The sequence below is a fragment of the Homo sapiens genome, chromosome 9 (genome assembly GCF_000001405.40).
Source record: "Homo sapiens chromosome 9, GRCh38.p14 Primary Assembly".
Taxonomy (NCBI): Eukaryota; Metazoa; Chordata; class Mammalia; order Primates; family Hominidae; genus Homo; species Homo sapiens.
The window spans coordinates 26,105,885-26,125,131 of NC_000009.12; the positions used below are offsets into that span (position 1 = coordinate 26,105,885).

The window sequence follows — 19,247 nt, forward strand, 5'->3', positions numbered from 1 at the left end:
GGCAGTTTCCAGGCAAGATAATGTTGATTCTCCTCAGGAGCCACCCCTAAGACCTCTGTTTGCTTCTAGACCTATAACTAGACTAAAGTCCTAGCAGGCCCCTAGAGGTGAGGTTCAGGGTGTGACCAATTAGGAGATATGCTACATTCAAAAAGAACTGCTTGAGTTTTCTAATTTAGATAAGGAGAAATCTAGAGAACATGCATGGGAATGGATACTAAGGGTGTGGGATAATGGTAGAAGGAATATTGAGTTGGATCAGGCTGAATTTATTGATTTGGGCCCACTAAGCAGGGATTCTGCATTCAATGTTGCAGCTTGGAGAGTTAAAAAAGGGTCCGACAGTTTATTTGCTTGGTTGCTTGGTTAGCTGAAACATGGATTAAAAGATGACCCCCTGAGAGTGAGTTAGAAATGCCCGATCTCCCTTGGTTTAATGTAGCAGAAGGCATCCAAGGGCTTGAGGAGATTGGGATGCTAGAGTGAATTAGTCACTTGAGACCTACTCATCCCAACTGGAAGGGTCCAGAAGATATACCCTTAACCAGTGCTTTGCAAAATAGATTTGTGAGGGCAGCACCTGCATCTTCAAAAAGCTCTGTGATTGCTCTTCTCTGTATGCCAGATGTAACAGTGGGAACCACAGTCACTCAACTACAAAATTTAAATGCAATGGGAATAATTGGATCCTGAGGTAGCACTCAACCTTCAAAGGCAAGGTGGGTGTAGCTACCATAATGGACAGCAGAGGCAAAGCAGCAATCAGAATAATCTGACTTATGTAGAGCTCTGGCCTTGGCTAATTAATCACAGTGTTCCTAGATGTGAAATTGATATGAAACCTACTGCATTTCTACTTAATTTATATAGGCAGAAAACTTCCAAGTCGATTGGACAAAAGACTAATTTGAATTATAAAGGCAAAGAGTCATGGCCCCTCAATTAATTTCCAGACTTGAGCCAGTTTACAGATCCTGAACCCATTGAGTGAAGGGGAGGCCAGGTCCGCTTCAGGAAGGACCCCACTAAACTACCAACAATTTATACTATTAATCTTTCTCCCATCCTTCTGCAAGGAGACCTCCAGCCTTTTACCAGGGTAACTGTGCATTGTGGAAAGGGAAATGATCAGATATTTTGAGGACTACTGGACACTGGTTCTGAGCTGACGTTGATTCTAGGGGACCCAAAACATCATTGTGGTCCTCCAGTTAGAGTAGAGGCTTATGGAGGTCAGCTAATTAATGGAGTTTTACCTCAGTTTCAACTTACAGTTGGTCCTGTGGGTCCCCGGACTCATCCTGTGGTCATTTCCCCAATGCCAGAATGCATAATTGGCACAGACATACTTAGTAGCTGGGAGAACCCCCACATTGGCTCCCTGACTGATAGGCTGAGGACTATTATGATGGGAAAGGCCAAATGGAAACCATTAGAGCTGCCTCTACCTAGAAAAACTAGTAAATCAAAAACAATATCGCATCCCTGGAGAGATTGTGGAGATTAGTGCCACCATCAAGGACTTGAAAGATACAGGGCTGGTGATTCCCATCACATCCCCATTCAACTCTCCAGTTTGGCCTGTGCGGAAGACAGATGCATCTTGGAGAATGACAGTGGATTATCATAAGCTTAGCCAAGTGGTGACTCCAACTGCAACTGCTGTACCAGATGTGGTTTCACTGCTTGAGCAAATTAACACATTTCCTGGTACCTTTATGCAGCCATTGACTTGGCAAATGTCTTTTTCTCTATTCCTGTCCCTAGGGCCCACCAGATGCAATTAGCCTTCAGTTGACAAGGCTAGAAATATACATTTAGTGTCCTACCTCAGGGTTATATCAATTCTCCAGCTTTGTGTCATAATCTTGTTCGAAGAGACCTTGATCACTTTTTGCCTCCACAAGATATCTCACTGGTCCATTACATTGATGACATTGTGCTGATTAGATCCAGTGAGCAAGCAGTAACAAAGACAATGCACTTATTAGTGAGACATTTGTGTGTCAGAGGATGGGAGATAAGTTCAGCTAAGATTGAGAGAACTTCTACCTCAGTAAAATTTCTAAGGGGCCACTGGTGTGGGGCCTGTCGAGATATTCCTTCTAAGGTGAAGGATAAGTTGCTGCATTTGGCCCCTCCTACAACCAGGAAAGAGGCACAATTCCTACTAGGCATATTTGGATTTTGGAAGCAACACATTCCTCATTTATTATTCACTCAGCCCATTTATCATGTAACCTGAAAGGCTGCCAGTTTTGAATGGGGTCCAGAACAGGAGAAGGCTCTTGGAAGCAAAAGATCCAGGCTGCTGTGCAAGCTGCTCTGCACTTGGGCCATATGACCTAAAAGATACAATGGTGCTTGAGGTGTCAGTGGCAAACAGGGATGCTGTTTGGAGCGTCTGGAAGGCCTCCATAGGTGAATCATAGAAGAGGTATCTAGGATTTTGGAGCAAGGCTCTGCCATCTTCTGCAAATAACTACTCTCCTTTTGAGAGACAGCTCTTGGCCTGTTACTGGGCTTTGGTGGAAACTCAACTTTTGACTATGGGTCATCAAATCACCATGAGACCTGAATTGCCTATCATGAACTGGTTGCTTTCTGACGTATCTAGCCATAATGTGGGTCATGCACAGCAGCATTCCATCATCAAAAAGAAGTGGTATATACGTGATCGGGCTCGAGCAGGTCGTGAAGGCACAAGTAAGTTACACAGGGAAGTGGCTCAAATGCCCATGGTCTCCGCTCCTGCCACACTGCCTTCTATCTCCCAGCCTGCACCAATGGTTTCATGAGAGGTTCCCTATGATCAGTTGACAGAGGAAGAGAAGACTAGGGCCTGGTTCACAGATGGTTCTGCACAATATGCAGGCACCACCCAAAAGTGGACAGCTACAGCACTATAGCCCCTTTCTAGGCATCTCTGAAGGACAGAAGTGAAATCTTCCCAGTGGGCAGAACTTTGAGCAGTGCACATGGTTGTGCACTTTGCGTGGAAGGAGAAATGGCCAGATGTGTGATTATATACTGATTCATGGGCTGTAGCCAATGGTTTGGCTGGATGGTCAGGGACTTGGAAGAAGCACGACTGGAAAATCGGTGACAAAGAAATTTGGGGAAGAGGTATGTGGATGGACCTCTCTGAGTGGTCAAAAACTGTGAAGATATTTGTATCCCATGTGAGTGCTCACCAAAGGGTGACCTCAGCAAAAGAAGATTTTAATAATCAAGTGGATAGGATTACCCGTTCTGTGGACAGCACTCAGTCTCTTTCCCCAGCCACCTCTGTCATTGACCAACAGGCCCAGGAACAAAGTGGCCATGGTGGCTGGGATGGAGGTTATGCGTGGGCTCAAGCAACATGGACTTCCACTCACCAAGGCTGACCTGGCTACAGCCACTGCTGAGTGCTCAATTTGCCAGCAGCAGAGACCAACACTGAGCCCTCAATATGGGACCATTCTTCAAGGTGATCAGCCAGCTACTTGGTGGAAAGTTGATTATATTGGACCTCTTCTATCATGGAAAGCGATGAGGTTTGTCCTCACTGGAATAGACACTTACTTCGGATGTGGGTTTACCTAACCTGCATGCAATGCTTCTGCCAAGACTACCATCCACGGACTCACAGAATGCCTTATCCACCATCATGGTATTCCACACAGCATTGCGTCTGACCAAGGCTCTCACTTTACTGCTAAAGAAGTGTGGAAGTGGGCTTGTGCTCAAGGAATTCACTGATCTTACTATGTTCTCCACCATCCTGAAGCAGCTGGATTGATAGAACAGTGGAATGGCCTTTTGAAGTCACAATTACAACACCAACTAGGTGATAGTACTTTGCAGGGCTGGGGCAAAATTGTCCAAAAGGGTGTGTATGCTCTGAATCAGCATCCAATATATGGTACTGTTTCTCCCATAGCCAGGATTCACAGGTCCAAGAATCAAGGGGTGGAAGTGGAAGTGGCACCATTCACCATCACCCCCAGTAATCCACTAGCAAAATTTTTGCTTCCTGTTCCCAAGACATTATATTCTTCTGGCCTAGAGGTCTTTGTTCCACAGGGAGAAGTGCTGCCACCAGGAGACACGACGACGATAATTCCATTAAACTGGATGTTAAAATCACCACCTGGACACTTTGGGCTCCTCCTCCTATTAAGTCAACAGGCCAAGAATGGAGTTATGGTGTTGGCTGGGGTAACTGACCCAGAGTATCAAGATGAAATCAGTCTACTACTCCACAATGAAGGTAAGGAAGAGTATGCATGGAATACAGGAGATCCGTTAGGGCATCTCTTAGTATTACCATGCCCTGTGATTACGGTCAATGGGAAATTACAACAACCCAATCCAGGCAGGACTACAGATGGCCCACACCCTTCAGGAATGAAGTTTGGGGTCACTCCACCAGGAAAAAAACCATGACCTGCTGAGGTGCTTGCTGAAGGCAAAGAGAATACAGAATGGGTAGTCATTAATACTAGCTATGACCATGTAACCAGCTGCAAAAAGAGGACTGTAATTGTCATGAGTATTTACTCCTTTTGTTAAAAACATGTTTGTGCATGTATACACTTGTACTAAGAAAATAGCTTCATTTTATTTCCTTTTACCTTTCTCACATGACATAGGATTTATTGACTTCATATCAGCATTTAAGTGTTGTTAACTTTATAATAGCATTTGGATTGGGGCTTGGTTCATTTCTGGTTGTAGGAAGGATAGTTATGTTAGGTGTAATTATGACATTATTGTCTTTATTTGAAGATGATATATGATCTCAGGAGATGCGTATGGGTTCAAGTTGACAAGGGTGGATTTATGATGATTAATACCGAGTGTCTACTCGATTGGATTGAAGGAAGCAAAGTATTGATCCTGGATGTGTCTGTGAAGGTGTTGCCAAAGAAGATTAATATTTGAGTCAGCGGGCCGGGAAAGGCAGACCCACCCTTAATCTGGGTGGGCCCCATGTAATCCGCTGCCAGTGAATATAAAGCAGGCAGAAGAACATAAAAAGGTTAGACTGGCTTAACCTCCCTGCCTACGTCTTTCTCCTGTGCTAGATGGTTCCTGCCCTCAAACACTGGACTCCAAGTTCTTCAGCTTTGGGGCTCGGACTGGCTATATTAGTCGGAACCCTATATTAGTCAGGGTTCTCTAGAGGAACAGAACTAATATAGGCCCTCACTTCTTTGTATTTCACACACACATATAATTAACACTGAATGTGGGCTGGCACCCATGTGACCAATAGAACACAGTGGAAGTGATGAGTTTATTCAATGAATTGGTAAACATCTAGTATATTCCAGGCACTCATGAAAGCAATGAGGAGACCATAATGAAATACACCATGAATTAGTGAGCGTAGAAATAGGAATGGTAACATTTTACATTTGATCATGTGACAATTTTGATGAGATGTACGTTACTGGGGAAAATTTTTAAATCTGATATATCTTTAATATGAACAATACTTACTGCTTCTCACCCAGAATAATGCTCTATACCTAGCAGGCACTCTGTAAATGTTCAATGAATTAAATTGATTTGGCCATAGAGATCTTTCTAAATATGTCAATTAAATTACAAAAGGATAAATGAAAAAGAAGAATTATATTCTTCATTGAGCATTGGGATTTATGCACTGCACTTTATTTACTTACTGCCAACAAATTCATAACTTCCTGGTCTTTGTAGACTTCTATGATTTCATACCTATATAGAGTAAATGGAAGCAGGCCAGCATCTCGGATGTCAGGTTGATAACAGCTCCTTGGAATACTACTAATTCTGGAACTAGTCAAGTAGTTTCTCACATTTGGGTATAGATAATTCCTATCATATATCATGTATGTTGACTATTATTTGCTGACAATGATATGACCTTTTCTAAAAAGGACAAGAATAATAATGGCAATTAGTATTGGGTGGAGAAATCAATAAAAGTATTATACACATACACACACACATACACTACAGGGTTTAAATAATCTAATTAAAGAATTGCATTAACAAATCATAAATTTCCTACATAGGTAAATTTGAGCAAGTTAAATTGGTTTCCTTAGATGTATATTAAACTCAAGAGCTGAAGAAAATGTTCTGGTCCCAATTTAACTAGTTTGTTCTACCTTGAGAAATTAACACACTGTGTGCCTTTTTAATATATAAGTATGCCCCATAGAATTTTATGTATATATAATCCATTTATATATATACATATATATGGACTAGAAGCCTACAGTAGCAAGGACTTGCAAAATATTAAGTGACTGAAAAAGTCATAGAAGTGAAAATTAATGTATGCTATTTTTAAGCACTTAGTAATGATATGCATGAAGAGGTAAAGAGAAATTTTTTAAACTACAGAACATACTAAATTAGAAGTGTTACCAGTGCCAAGAAGGAAAGAGCAATCATAAAGAAGGAAAAGTAAAGATTAGACATATGGGGCAAGAAATAACAAGATGAGATGAAGTTGAAATGTACAAAGTAATGCATAAAAAATAATAATTTAGAATATAAACCTACCACAGTGTAGAGAGATAATTAGAAAGTTGCAAGAAAGAAAAGACTGGGCAACAAAATGGACAATGAATCGAATGAGAACAATAAGGTAAGATTAGAAAACATTGGAAAAGTGTCATTGGCTTGCGTATGAAATAACTCAATGTAGATTATTAAATTATAGCATGTGATTCTATATAGTATGTGCCATCTTTCTGTATGTGCAGGTAACTGTGCTTTACATATATTGTAATCTCTGTAGACAGCATGCAGGTTATTAGGGAGAAAACCAAAAAATAAAAATGAAAATTTAGAAAATCATTTTTTTAAAGTATTTTAAGTCTGGGATACAAAAATAGCAAAATCTTGAAATTCATGAGAGTCTTGAGAACTTTTCAAGCATTAGGAAAGCATATAATTTACCTCTTAAATGTAGTACAGCAGCTTCTTCAGCGTTAATGTAGAAAGGGACAATGCTACAGTGAGATTCAGAGAGTAACCACACTTCCACCCACACTCACTAATGACTCAGTTCCTAAATCCAGTGCCATGATTCTAATCTGTGACTCACTAAAGTGGCAAATTATAAACTGCAATATGTGATCCACTTCTGGGGTCATATGCAGGTAGTTTTACCTGGTAAATATCAACATTTATACTAAAATATTCTGGTGTAATTATCGAAATGCAAACTTGCAGCTCTGGACTTTGTATTTTAATAAACATTGAAGAATATTTGGGTACAAATAGCCCCTAGCCTACACAAGGGGTTAATATTAAGTGTATAATTCTAATGGGATACACAATACTTTGATCCAATGGTAGCAAATAGAATGATACAGCACCTTCCAAGGACAACAAATTGGCCACTCAGTTACACGTGAGCTGAAAACAAAACTAGCGTGTTGTATAATAAAGACATTCCTAAAGGTTTTAGTGTAACTGTAAGACAAGGAAAGAGAATAATGGCCTCTCAAGTTGACTTCTAAATCAGGATTTTCATAATAGTACAGATTATCTGTGTAAGACAGTTCAGACTTTTTTTTTTACTTTTTTAACTGAAAAGCAAAAATGCTTTATATATATTATAATATAGGAAACCATACTTCTTTAGCAGAACTAGTAATAATTATGGTTCTAAAGATTGACTTGTAGGCTTTCATTCAAACACCTTCATTTCTCATTATTATTGTTACAATGCATAAATAAATCAATATACAGCTTTCATTATATCGACTGTGTTAGAAAAAATTTACCTAGTAGATACTTGGATAAATGTCTCAGTGTTTTGTGCTTTTTTCCAGTAGAATTGTTTCTGTTATTAAAGAATATAAGATGAGTTTGCATTACCTTCTGCATTCCCTGCCTTGTGTCTCAACGTTAGATACAAATCTGCTCTAACCTTGGGACTCAGTAGTAATGAATAAGCTATTAACTAAACTGAGTGTGAGTATAGCAATGTATAATCTCAATAATTCTGTAGCATAGGCTATTAAAGTTACAACTGAGAAAAGAAACCAGCCAAAGTAGTAAAAAAAAAAAAAAAAAAAAAACATAAAATTAAATAAAAACAACGCCCATTTCTCCTGATGTTGAAAGACTGAGAAGACTCACAGTGCAGGACAAGCAATTTAATTGAAGAAAACCAGTGTAATCATTCAAAATTACCCCACTTTGCTTATGGTTCTGTTTTAGATAATAGTTTGATATCAACATTACCTTAGCTAGTGCTGCTTTATCTTTCATATTCTAGAAATTATTGTACATGCGGATTTCTATTTTTTTTGGTCCAAAAATGGCACCAACAAAAGGTGAAGCATTCCAAACCTACTACTTCAGCTCACTGTAAGGTTTGTCTGTAAGATGAGATCTTTTTCATTGCTCTTCCAAATAAGGTAGGTGGCCTGGTTGCTAGCCAAATGGTCAAAATCGAAGCAGAATCTTAGGGCATTTGTACTAACATAAGCTCTGCTACCTCAGGTCATCTGAAAGAGGTGAAGATGGAGGGAGCACGTCTAGGTCTTCCAGGAAGAGCTGAGAGTCTTGAACACCAAGTGCAAAGGTAAAGATAGAATCTGAGTGGAAAGAATAAAGTTGTAAAACAGAAGTGGGGTTATAGCCAGACAATAATAGGCAGAGTTTAATCCAGATGTTTACTGCTAATAGCCTTAGGGTACCTTTCATTAATAGAGTGACTTTATCACTTCAGTTTATCATCCATTATGAGTTATAGAATATGAGAGGGAGGAGAACAAACCAAATTTTTCTGACTCCAATTAAAAGACATCTTGCAAGATAGAGTACATGAGAAATTTGCAATGTGCTTACTTAGTGCCTCTGCTTTCCAAGGAATGAGAAGGACCTGACCAAATGGTCCTGTCCACACTCCAGAAAGCAGAAGCTATGTTGCTCCATTGCTTTATGAGAGTATATTTTAGAATTTAAAAAGATGTCTGTGGTTATCCTGGCATACCATATTCAGTGATTGCTTTTTTCATGTTGGGCTATCAGGCTGTCTCAGTTGTCTCAGTTTACAGTCAAGAGATTTAAAGGAAATTAAGTAAGAAATCTGCTCTGAGATTCCTTAAGTGTCTTTGAGGAGCTTAATGGGAGGAGGAGGATAAGAAAGGCAGAATCCAACCAGTCACCTTTGCTTGTGGCAAGGTTTGTTTTTAAAACCACAACTTTCAATTCCTTATCTTCCTGATTCTCATTTAAAAGTATTATGCAAAATAGAAGATAACAATAAAACAGAACAAGGTTAAGATATTAGTTTATGCATGGGGAAAAATCAGATTATAAAAACAGACAGCTATGGTCAAACATACAAATTGATCCAAATATCAAACAACCTTAAAGAATCAAGCAAGGACTTTTATCTGAATTTTTAGAATTTCTTGGAGCAATGATAAGTGCAAATATAAAGAGCAAAGATAATGGAAATTCTGAAGTCCCATAAAGGGGCAATTTTAGATAGGCAACACTGCATGTAAAATTTTTATCAAACTTAAGATTTCAGATTAAAAACTAGAGGCAGAGGGATCCTTTCAAGGCACTTTCAGGACATGATAGAGTGTCATTTTTAAATGCATAGTTCTTCTGAGTTCTGGCCTGCTTCTTAGCTCTTTGGGCTCAGGTAAGTCCTTCTGAGCTTTCTTTTTTTTTCATCTATAAGGTAACAATTAAAGAACTACCTATATGCTTTTAGACCAGTGCTGTGAAGGTATAAGGGAAAAAAGAAATACACAAAAGTGTTACAAAACTGAAATGTGCCACACAAATATGAGTTGTTACTGCTTACCTGAGGAGACAGTCTTGCTTCTGTGCTCTGTAGGACTCTAGCTATTGCTTTCTACAGCCCCATTTAATAGTCTGCCACTTGCAACATCTTCTAGATATCACCTTCTTATCCTTTGACCACTTCATCTTTAGTCTGTCCACTTAAGCAAATGTCATACCCGTTAGCACTCCTTCACAAACTAACAAGGTTTAAGAGGCAAAAATATACTAGCAGGTGATTATATGAGTAATTTATGTTTTTCTTGGAAAGTGATCTCATCTCTGGTGTCTTTTGAGAAATCGTGAGTGTCTTCTTGGTAGCTGAATTCCATAATGCTCAGGAGACCTAAATGCTGGGATTGATCCCTTTCCACCCCTCTATCATCTTTGGCCAATTAAGTTTTCTCAGTTTCATAGTTACAGATGTCTCTTCTCACCCCAACCAGCCATCTCAACATGATTGCCCAGAGTCAAAGGACATTCCAGAAGAAAGATGCTGGAAAAGCCATTATTCTCAGCAAACTAACACAGGAACAGAAAACCAAACACTGCATGTTCTCACTTGTAAGTGGAAGCTGAACAATGAGCACACATGGACAGACAGGGAGGAGAACAATACACACTGGGGCCTTTGTGGGCGTGGCAGGGGGAGGGAGAGCATCAGGATAAATAGCTAATGCATGCCGGGCTTAATACCTAGGTGATGGGCTGATAGGTGCAGCAAACCACCATGTAACAAACCTATGCATCCTGCACATGTATCCAAGAGCTTAAAATAAAGTAATATAAACTAACATTTAAAAAAAGAAAGACGCTGGAAAAATCCAGTTTCCAATGGTAAAAGAACAATATTAGAGAATCAAGTTGATTGATTGTAGAGATGAGGCCTGCCTATATTGCCCAGGCTGGTCTTAAACTGCTGGGTTCAAGTGATCCTCCCACCTCGGCCTCCCAAAGTGCTGGGATTACAGGCATAAGCCACCATATCTGGCCTAAGAGTCAAATTTAAATGTCAGTATAACTTCAATTTCTTGAGCACCTATAGTGGGACAGGCATTGTGACAGTGCTTTAATAATGCAGGACAATACTTTGAAATATTAATTTAAGTCTTTTCTTTCTCTTTATTTTACTCCTTTTAATCCCCACTCTTCCCAACCTCCATTCAGCACTGAAGACAGAATTTCTGTTTGCTTTCTTCAAAAAAATTTGGGAAAGAGTCATTTATTTTCAGAATTTCATACCTACCAAGGAACTAATACTACAGAGAAACATAGGGAAAAGGGTATTTGTACTTTATATAGACTAAATAAATATCTGGCAGAAGCAGGATTCTCTCCATATGTGTAACAGTAAAAGCTTTTCTTTGGCTTGAGTCAGGAACAAAAGAAGAAAGAAAATTCTATGGATCCTGAGAGTAGAGAAAACCTATCCCCTGGTTTTCAGAGACAAAGGCAACAGAACTGGAGAAGGGGCACCTAAGAGATGATCCTCTGGGAACCACATCAAAGATTCTTCACTCGAGCTTTGCAAAGAAGAGAAAATTAGAGATCTTTGGGATCTGAAGGGGCCATGCACACCGATGTAGTGAATATCTCAGGGGCCATCAGTATTGACTTATGACTTCAGATCAGATTTGTTTCTCCCCAACCAAGACCTGACGGCCAAAATCTTAGCACTGTATAATATCCTCAAGTAGTAGATACTGCTCCCCAAAGAGAGTGGGTATAAAATTTCAGGTACAAATTATATTGAGTTTTTATATTTTATCCCTACCAGCCTAATAGAAGATTTCAGTCAGAAATTACAATGAGTTAAAGAAAATGAAGAAAGCTTGTTTGCTTCGATCCCTGGATACATCTGGATTCATACCCAATACATATTTGATGCCTCAATTAATTCCTACAACAGAACTACAAAAAAAGAAATTCCTCTACCCCTTATTACAGATAGAAAACCTAGAAAGAAAAATTTAAGTAGTTTCTTAAGATAGCACAGCTAGTTTATGATGGTGCTGGGAGTCAACCCTAAGTCTTTTCAAATCTAAAATCATCATATCTGTTATCCTGTAGTACCCATATCACAAGGTTGAGTAGGCTGGGAAAAATCTGCTATTGGCCAATCTGACTCTTTTTAAGTTACTATGAATCTGGGATGCACTCTTGCCTCTTCATGTGAGTAGAGAGACAAAGCAGATCTTTGGTGTTCGGTCTCAAAAGTAAACTCTACTAAATAATATATTTCATAAACACAACAAAACACCAAATTGGACTCCTCATAAGCATTTTATAGCCTAATTTCTTCGCATAGTTCTGCTTTGTAGTGATTCTGAAAGGACAAATCCCATGAGGAATAAAGATCTATCTGTAGTAATTGAGAAATTTTCTGAAGATTAGAGACTTAGCTGCTTTGAAGAAAACTTTGGCAAGCCCCAGGAGTCAAGAAATCAGCTGGGAATAGTTCAGGGGCACTCACTGGCGCTCCACATGCATTGGAAGGAGGCTGGCACCAAATGGTTGCCCAAAGAGCTGCCAGTCGAGATTGGCACTTGTGCACCAAGACTAAGGGGGAAGCAAGTTGCAAGACAGTGGTGCCAGCTGGAAAAATACTGCCTGTGAAAAGAAGGAGATGAGCTTCTATGGAGGTACCAAACAATAATTTCTGAAGTGTATACAAGGATGGCTGAAGTGTGGACATGAGACTGGAAACAGAGGCAGGGCAATGATGCAAATAAGCAAAATGGAAGGCAGGACAAAAGGAACGAAGGAGAAGGGGGACGAAAGGAGAAACGGCCTTAATTAAGAAAGCCAGCTAGGTAACAAATTTCTGAAAAGGCAGCTTGGTTTAGTTCATGTTGTATTAATTACACTGAAGTATCAGGTACAGAAAAGAATGAAAGTAGAGAGACAAAATCATTACCTGAGGAAGGGAAAGATAATACATGAATACATATTGAAAATCAGGTCAATATGATTTTTTTATATCAGATTAGATATTATAAAATATATGACTTTGTGGGTCCTTCTGTAATCATTTTTAAACATCAGTTTAGTTTTCTCATTTGTAATAAGCAGCTGATAATAAATAAATTATAGTTGATATTATTACTATTAAAAGATGTGCTCTAATAAGTACATAATACGTGCTGCATGCTGTGCTAAGCATGTTAAATGAATTCTCTCACATAATTACTCTATAATAACTCACATAATAACCGAATGAATTACCATAATAAAAGAGTTTTGTAGGGTACCAGATTCATACTAGGTACTCAATAAATGATGGCTACTGTTAATAATGCCATTAATATTGGTTCTTTTTTGCTAATTAATTCCTAATCTCAAGTATTCTTTTAATGGATGTCTGTTACAATTCTGATGCTCAATGGGGTTGGGGGTCATGTAGTGGAAAGGAAGGATTTTATTTCTATTCCCTACATAAATTTCAGATAGCCTCCTTCGCAAAGGCATGCAAAACATGTAGATCGGCTATAAACACCTTGAGCTCAGACAAGGTTTATAATTGTTGTGTATCTCAAGCTACAATTTCCCCTTTATGCATGCAGTCCTCTCTCTGATGTCCAGACAGAATCTTCTTTCTTTCTACTATCCACTGAGAGGAAAGCATGCTCTTTACTCTTCTCTTTTTACACACATTTCTACTGAAAGCTATGTGCACATGTGCTGTGAGAAGGTCGTTGATTGGATGTTCATAATAACTACACTTTTTTTGCATCTGCAGGAAATAGAGTACTCTCTCTTTAACTCAGGAATGGTCCACTCCTTTTCATCACGAAATGTCACCTTTTTAGAAAAGCCCCGGCCGGGGCGGTGGCTCACACCTGTAATCCCAGCACTTTGGGAGGCCGAGGTGGGCAGATCACGAGGTCAGGAGATCGAGACCATCCTGGCTAACACGATGAAACCCCGTCACTACTAAAAATACAAAAAATTAGCCAGGCGTGATGGCGGGCGCCTGTAGTCCCAGCTACTCCGGAGGCTGAGGCAGGAGAATGGCGTGAACTCGGGAGGCGGGGCTTGCAGTGAGCCGAGATAGCGCCACTGCACTCCAGCCTGGGCGACAGAGCGAGACTCTGTCTCAAAATAAAAATAAAAATAAAAGCCCCTTCAACTAACCAATCTAAATTATTTTTCCCTGTTAATTTCCATCTGATTGCCTTGGGCATTGCTTTTAAAGCACTTCTTAAAATTACTCCTCAGGATTTGTATACTATTTTATTTGTTTGTCTACTCACTTGTATTTGCCTTTAGTCCTTACTACAAAGTAAATTTTGTGAGGGCAGAAACCACTTCTGTATTCTTCTGCATTCAGAAATATTCATTAAGCACCTACTAGGCACCAGGCATTGTTCTAGGCACTAGGATACAGCAAAGAACTGGCATTCTAGCAGTGAGGAACAAACAGCCAAAAAAAAAAATGCAGGTGGTGATGTTATGAACCACATAGCAATACAAAGGCATAAAGAGAGCACCAAGGCTGCAGCAATGAGAAGTTATTGGGATTCCATTTCATCAAAGATAATCAGGAAAGGCTCCCTCATGTATTGACCTATAATAATTAGGGAAGATAATTCTAGGTAAAGGGAACAATAAGTACAAAGACCAAGAACTTGTTGGGTATGTTCATGAAACAACAATCAGGCTTTGTAACTAGAGTATGGTGAACAAGGAGGAGAGAAGGAAGAGATGATATTTGAAGGATTGTCAGGCATCATGAAGCTGTAATATGACCTTTGATTTTATCCTGGGAGAGGGGGCAACAACAATTTACTTTTAAGCAGAGAGTGACAAAATCTGACTTATGTATTAAAAGGATTGCTTTTCCCATTATGTACAGAATAGCCTGGAAGGGGTTGGTCAAGGGAGAAGAGTTGAGACTATTGCACTAGTTTAAGTGGAAGATCCTGGTGACATAAAATATAGTGATTGTTACCAAGGTGAAGAGATGTCAGATTCTGTATAAATTTTCAAAGTAGAGATGACTGAATTTGCTGAGGAATTGGATGGGGTCATAACAAAATGAAAAGTACCAAAGATGATTCCAACTTTTATGGCATTTGAAGTTTAAAGATTGGAGTTGCACTGACCAGGTTAGGAAATACTTGGAGAAAAAAAAGTTTAGGAGGTAGAAATTGAGAGTTCAGTTTGAGATAGGTAAAACTTCAACTACAGAAAAGCCAAGTAAGCAGTTGACTATACACGTCAACAAGTGTGGAATTAAGGAAAGAGTTTTGAGGCTAGAAATATACATTTGGAAGTTACCAGAATATAGATGGCATTTAAAATCATTAGAGTGGATAGATTCACTTATGAGGAAGATAAACAAAGTAACGATCTGAGGACGGAGTCCAGGGCCCTCCAACATTTAGTTCTAGGGAGGATGATGAGAAAATAGCAGAGCAGGACGATAGGGATTCCTCTCTGAGGCAGGAGAAAAACCAGGAGAGTGTGGGGTCCTGGAAACCAAGGGTCTGCAGCAGCTGATTAGTTAAGTAATAGAACTGTGAATGCAGTACTGGGTTTGGCAATATGGCAGTGCCTGACAACTTTGATCTGAGCAGTTTTGTAGGGTTGAATGGGTAAATGGAACAGTTTCAAGAAAGTTTGTAAGGAATGAAAGTGGAATACACACAACTTTTTCAAGGGACCTTGCCATAAAAGAGATTAGAGAGCTGGGTCGGCAGTGGAGACGGCTATGAGATTACTGGCATATATTTCATAATAAGCATGTTTACAAAAGGAAATAAAATTGATGTTATAGGGAGAAGGAGACAATCACCAGAGTGAAGTCCTTGAACAGGACAGAGGATGGGACACATTAGCCAAGTGAAGGAGGAGATTATGGGTAGGAATTGGAAGAGTTCTTTCACTGTAACAGGAAAAAGGGAAGGTGTTTGGGTATGGGTGCACTTGTACTGGTAGTTTCACCATGTGAGCACATGGAACGTTTCCCCCAATTCCTTGATTGAATAGTCAGTAACTTTAACACTGCCTGACACATAGTAAGTGCTCAAACCAGGTATTGAATGAATGGATGTGCATTATTAAATCTGCTTCCAAAAATTTCCTAAGAAAATTTTCTGTGTTGGGGCTCTCCTTGCATTTTAGCTTCAGCCTGCACTATAAAATGGAATAGTGAGAGAAAAAGAGAGAAGCTTTTCAAATAAGTTTTAAAGATTTACTTCATAGCCTCCACCCCTAGCCTTTCCTTCTAAAACAAAGATGTGGACAGAAAGGTATAAGATGTTGTAATTTTATTATAGAAGTAATTGGATAGCTGTGACTCCTCTTACCCTCTCATAATATCTATTGGATATAACTCTTGGCTTTCTCATTTTGGCTACATTCCCAGAACCATATGTAAAATGTTTTCCTGAAATATTGAAAAGGAACCTACATTTTAAGTTCATCATCTCTTTGCCTGAAAAGTGGTTTATTCTTGTCCTGCTGCGATTACATTTTGCATGATATCTTTTCTTTCTTCACTGTTAAGATTGTATTTAGCATGGGCTTTTCTCTTCCTTTACTATTAAGGTTAAAAATTGGAAAATTCACATTGCATACAAGCTAAGCATATTGTCATAGATGGTAGAGATATACACACAAATAAGGAAAAAAATGAAGATGACTAGAATTCATTTTAATGTGAATTATGAGAAGAGAAGAGAAGGGGTCTAATGTTCACAGAGACTCTACCAGGTGCTAAGCTGTCTACATTTATTATTTATATTTAGTCATTATAAAAAAACCCAGAAAGTAGTTATTATTTGTTATAAAATATAAGTATCTAAGAAAAAGTTACAAAAAGTGCAAAAGAAGTTCAAGATTAAAAAAACAATAGTTTTAACTTTTTAAGTACCTTATTAAAAATATATCTGTACCAAATATATTACTAAGTACTGCATATGCAATATCAGCTTTAACCTTAGAATAACTATAGAATATATATTTTTGCCCCATCTTAGAAGATGAGAAATCTGAAGCATAAAGAAATTTAATAATTTGCTGAAAGTAACACAACTATTAGGGGCTTAAATCCAGACTTGACTCTTGCATGAAGACATGCCCCTTCTGCTGTACCACATTGTCCCTTGAGGGAACCAGAACGGCCAGGGAATTGGCCAATACATGAAGATAAAGCAAAACATAATTACTGGATAATTTTGATAAACAGCATCACTGGTTCAACAGTTTAGTTGATTATATTTACTAGCTAAGTCACAATCAGTTATATGTACTTACATCTCTCCAGACATAAAGAGATACTTGTATTTCCAAGTCTCTCTCAATATATTCTGATTTGAACATTAGCAAAAATGTACCAGTATAGAATAGATTCTTAAAACTCAATCGAAAATGGGAAAGATGTTTTTTTGGTCTTATAACAAGTGGACAGCTAAATTATAATGAAAAATAAATAAGAAAAACCTTATTTATCCTATGTAAATGTATACACGTATGAATATACTGTGTGGTTTTTTTTCAAGAAATAATTCCTTCACAGGCAACCTAGGAAATATAGTAATTAAAAATGCACTCTTTAAAATCAGAATTTTCAATCCTGCCCTTGCCAGTTTTTGGTACGAGACTTGCACAAGTTACTTTGACAAGCTAGAGAATTCTGAAAGACCTTTTTTTTTTTTTTTTTTTTTGAGATGGAGTCTCACTCTCTAACCCAGGCTGGAGTGCAGTGCCACGATCTCGGCTCACTGCAAGCTCCACCTCCCAGGTTCACACCATTCTCCTGCCTCAGCCTCCTGAGTATCTGGGACCACAGGCGCCCACCACCACGCCCAGCTGATTTTTTTTTTTTTTTTGCATTTTTAGTAGAGATGGGGTTTCACCATGTTAGCCAGGAAGGTCTTGATCTCCCGACCTCGTGATCTGCCCACCTCGGCCTCCCAAAGTGCTGGGATTACAGGAGTGAGCCACCGTGCCCAGTCCGAAAGACATTTTTTAATGTTGGTTTTAATTTTCCTTACTGAAGTCCATAAAAGTCTTAGCCAACTCCCCAGATTTGTGTAATTGCTACAACTATTGCACTTAGGTGAGGAACTCATGTGAATTCTTAGAAAGAAATATTTATTTCCTTCCAGGTATCATAACAATGCACACCTTCAGCTGAAGGCAGAACCCTGGGAAAAATCTTCACTCTCAGGGTGTTATTTCCACAAACACAAATACTATTCTTTTTTTTCATGTTTCCATTCAGAGTAATCCCCTTCATGAAATTTTCCCTGTAGCTTCACCCAGATGTGTGAACTGGTTCTCCTTTCCTAAATTCATATGGTATTTTATTTCTTTCTCCCCACCCTCCACCTTTACTTATCTGTATTCCGTCACTCTCACAGTACAAGTTTCAAGAAGGCAGGGGCTATTTTTTTATGCATCCTATTTCTACACAGACGTTAACATAAACTCCTCATGAGTAGCTTCTTCCTCAGAGTTGTATTAAGCATTTGATGTGTTCTAGACTCTAGCATAATAATCTCTTACATTTTATTGAGTGCTTCATCTTTGCCACAAGTATCTGATAGGGGCTTTTAGAACATGATCTCATTCAATTCTCAAAACTACGCAAAATCAGTCACATTATTAAACCTGTTTTGTAAATTGGGAGGCTGAGAGGTAGAGAGTATGGCCCACGGACCTAGGATCCCGCATTGGCAACATCCTACTTGGTCTCTGCTACCTCAGAGTCCACATGCTTGACCACTGTGTAAACACCACCCCTGTAGACATTCAGGAGATACTCAATGAACAAACAGATAAAAGTCAAGGACTATTTTCCTTTTCCTTTTTCTCCAGCTTTAAGATAAGATGTAAGCAAGTGATCATATTTTTTTCAAAAGATCAAGAAATTTCTTCATATAAAGAGTATTCAGGCCAGGCATGGTGGCTTACGCCTGTAATCCCAGCACTTCGGGAGACTGAGGGTAAGGGACACTTGAGGCCAGGAATTTAAGGCTGCAGTGAACTATGATCATGCTTCTGCACCCAGCCTGGGTGACAGTGAGACCCTCTCACTAAAAAAAAAGAGTATTCAAAGAAGCACATGTAAATATTTATTTGTCCTTTGAGTAAATGCAGTGACACATAATATATCTTGAGTGCTACAGAGAACATTCAAGTTTATTCTTGGTGATTTGTAAACTGCCAGTTACTTAGACCTAATGAGTTATGAAAGTCTTGGCCTTGCATTGAAAGTTGCAAAGTGAAGAAATAATTGCTTTGTATTACCTTTGGGTAGTCAGACCCATTACTTAAGCAATTAACCTTCACTTTCTGTTCCACTTCAAGAGAGGTAAAAGCAATGGTTTTAAACATTTCTTAATAATTATTAATCCTTACATACATTGATCCATATTATGAACAGCTGTCATTGCTTACCAATACTATAGACTAAAACTTTTCACCATATTGGAAAAAAA

At 38.8% G+C, this 19,247-nt stretch overlaps 1 long non-coding RNA gene across 1 annotated transcript in view; it reads left to right on the plus strand.

The window, feature by feature from the left end:
• The window catches only part of LINC03106 (long intergenic non-protein coding RNA 3106), a 51,734-nt gene extending 39,210 nt beyond the window's left edge, over window positions 1-12,524 (plus strand). Inside the window, exons 4-7 of the long non-coding RNA NR_170894.1 lie at window positions 4,069-4,255; window positions 8,500-8,581; window positions 10,245-10,362; window positions 10,966-12,524. This is a non-coding gene — a long non-coding RNA (long intergenic non-protein coding RNA 3106). The remainder of the gene's footprint in view (window positions 1-4,068; window positions 4,256-8,499; window positions 8,582-10,244; window positions 10,363-10,965) is intronic.
• The last annotated feature ends 6,723 nt before the right edge of the window (window positions 12,525-19,247 follow it).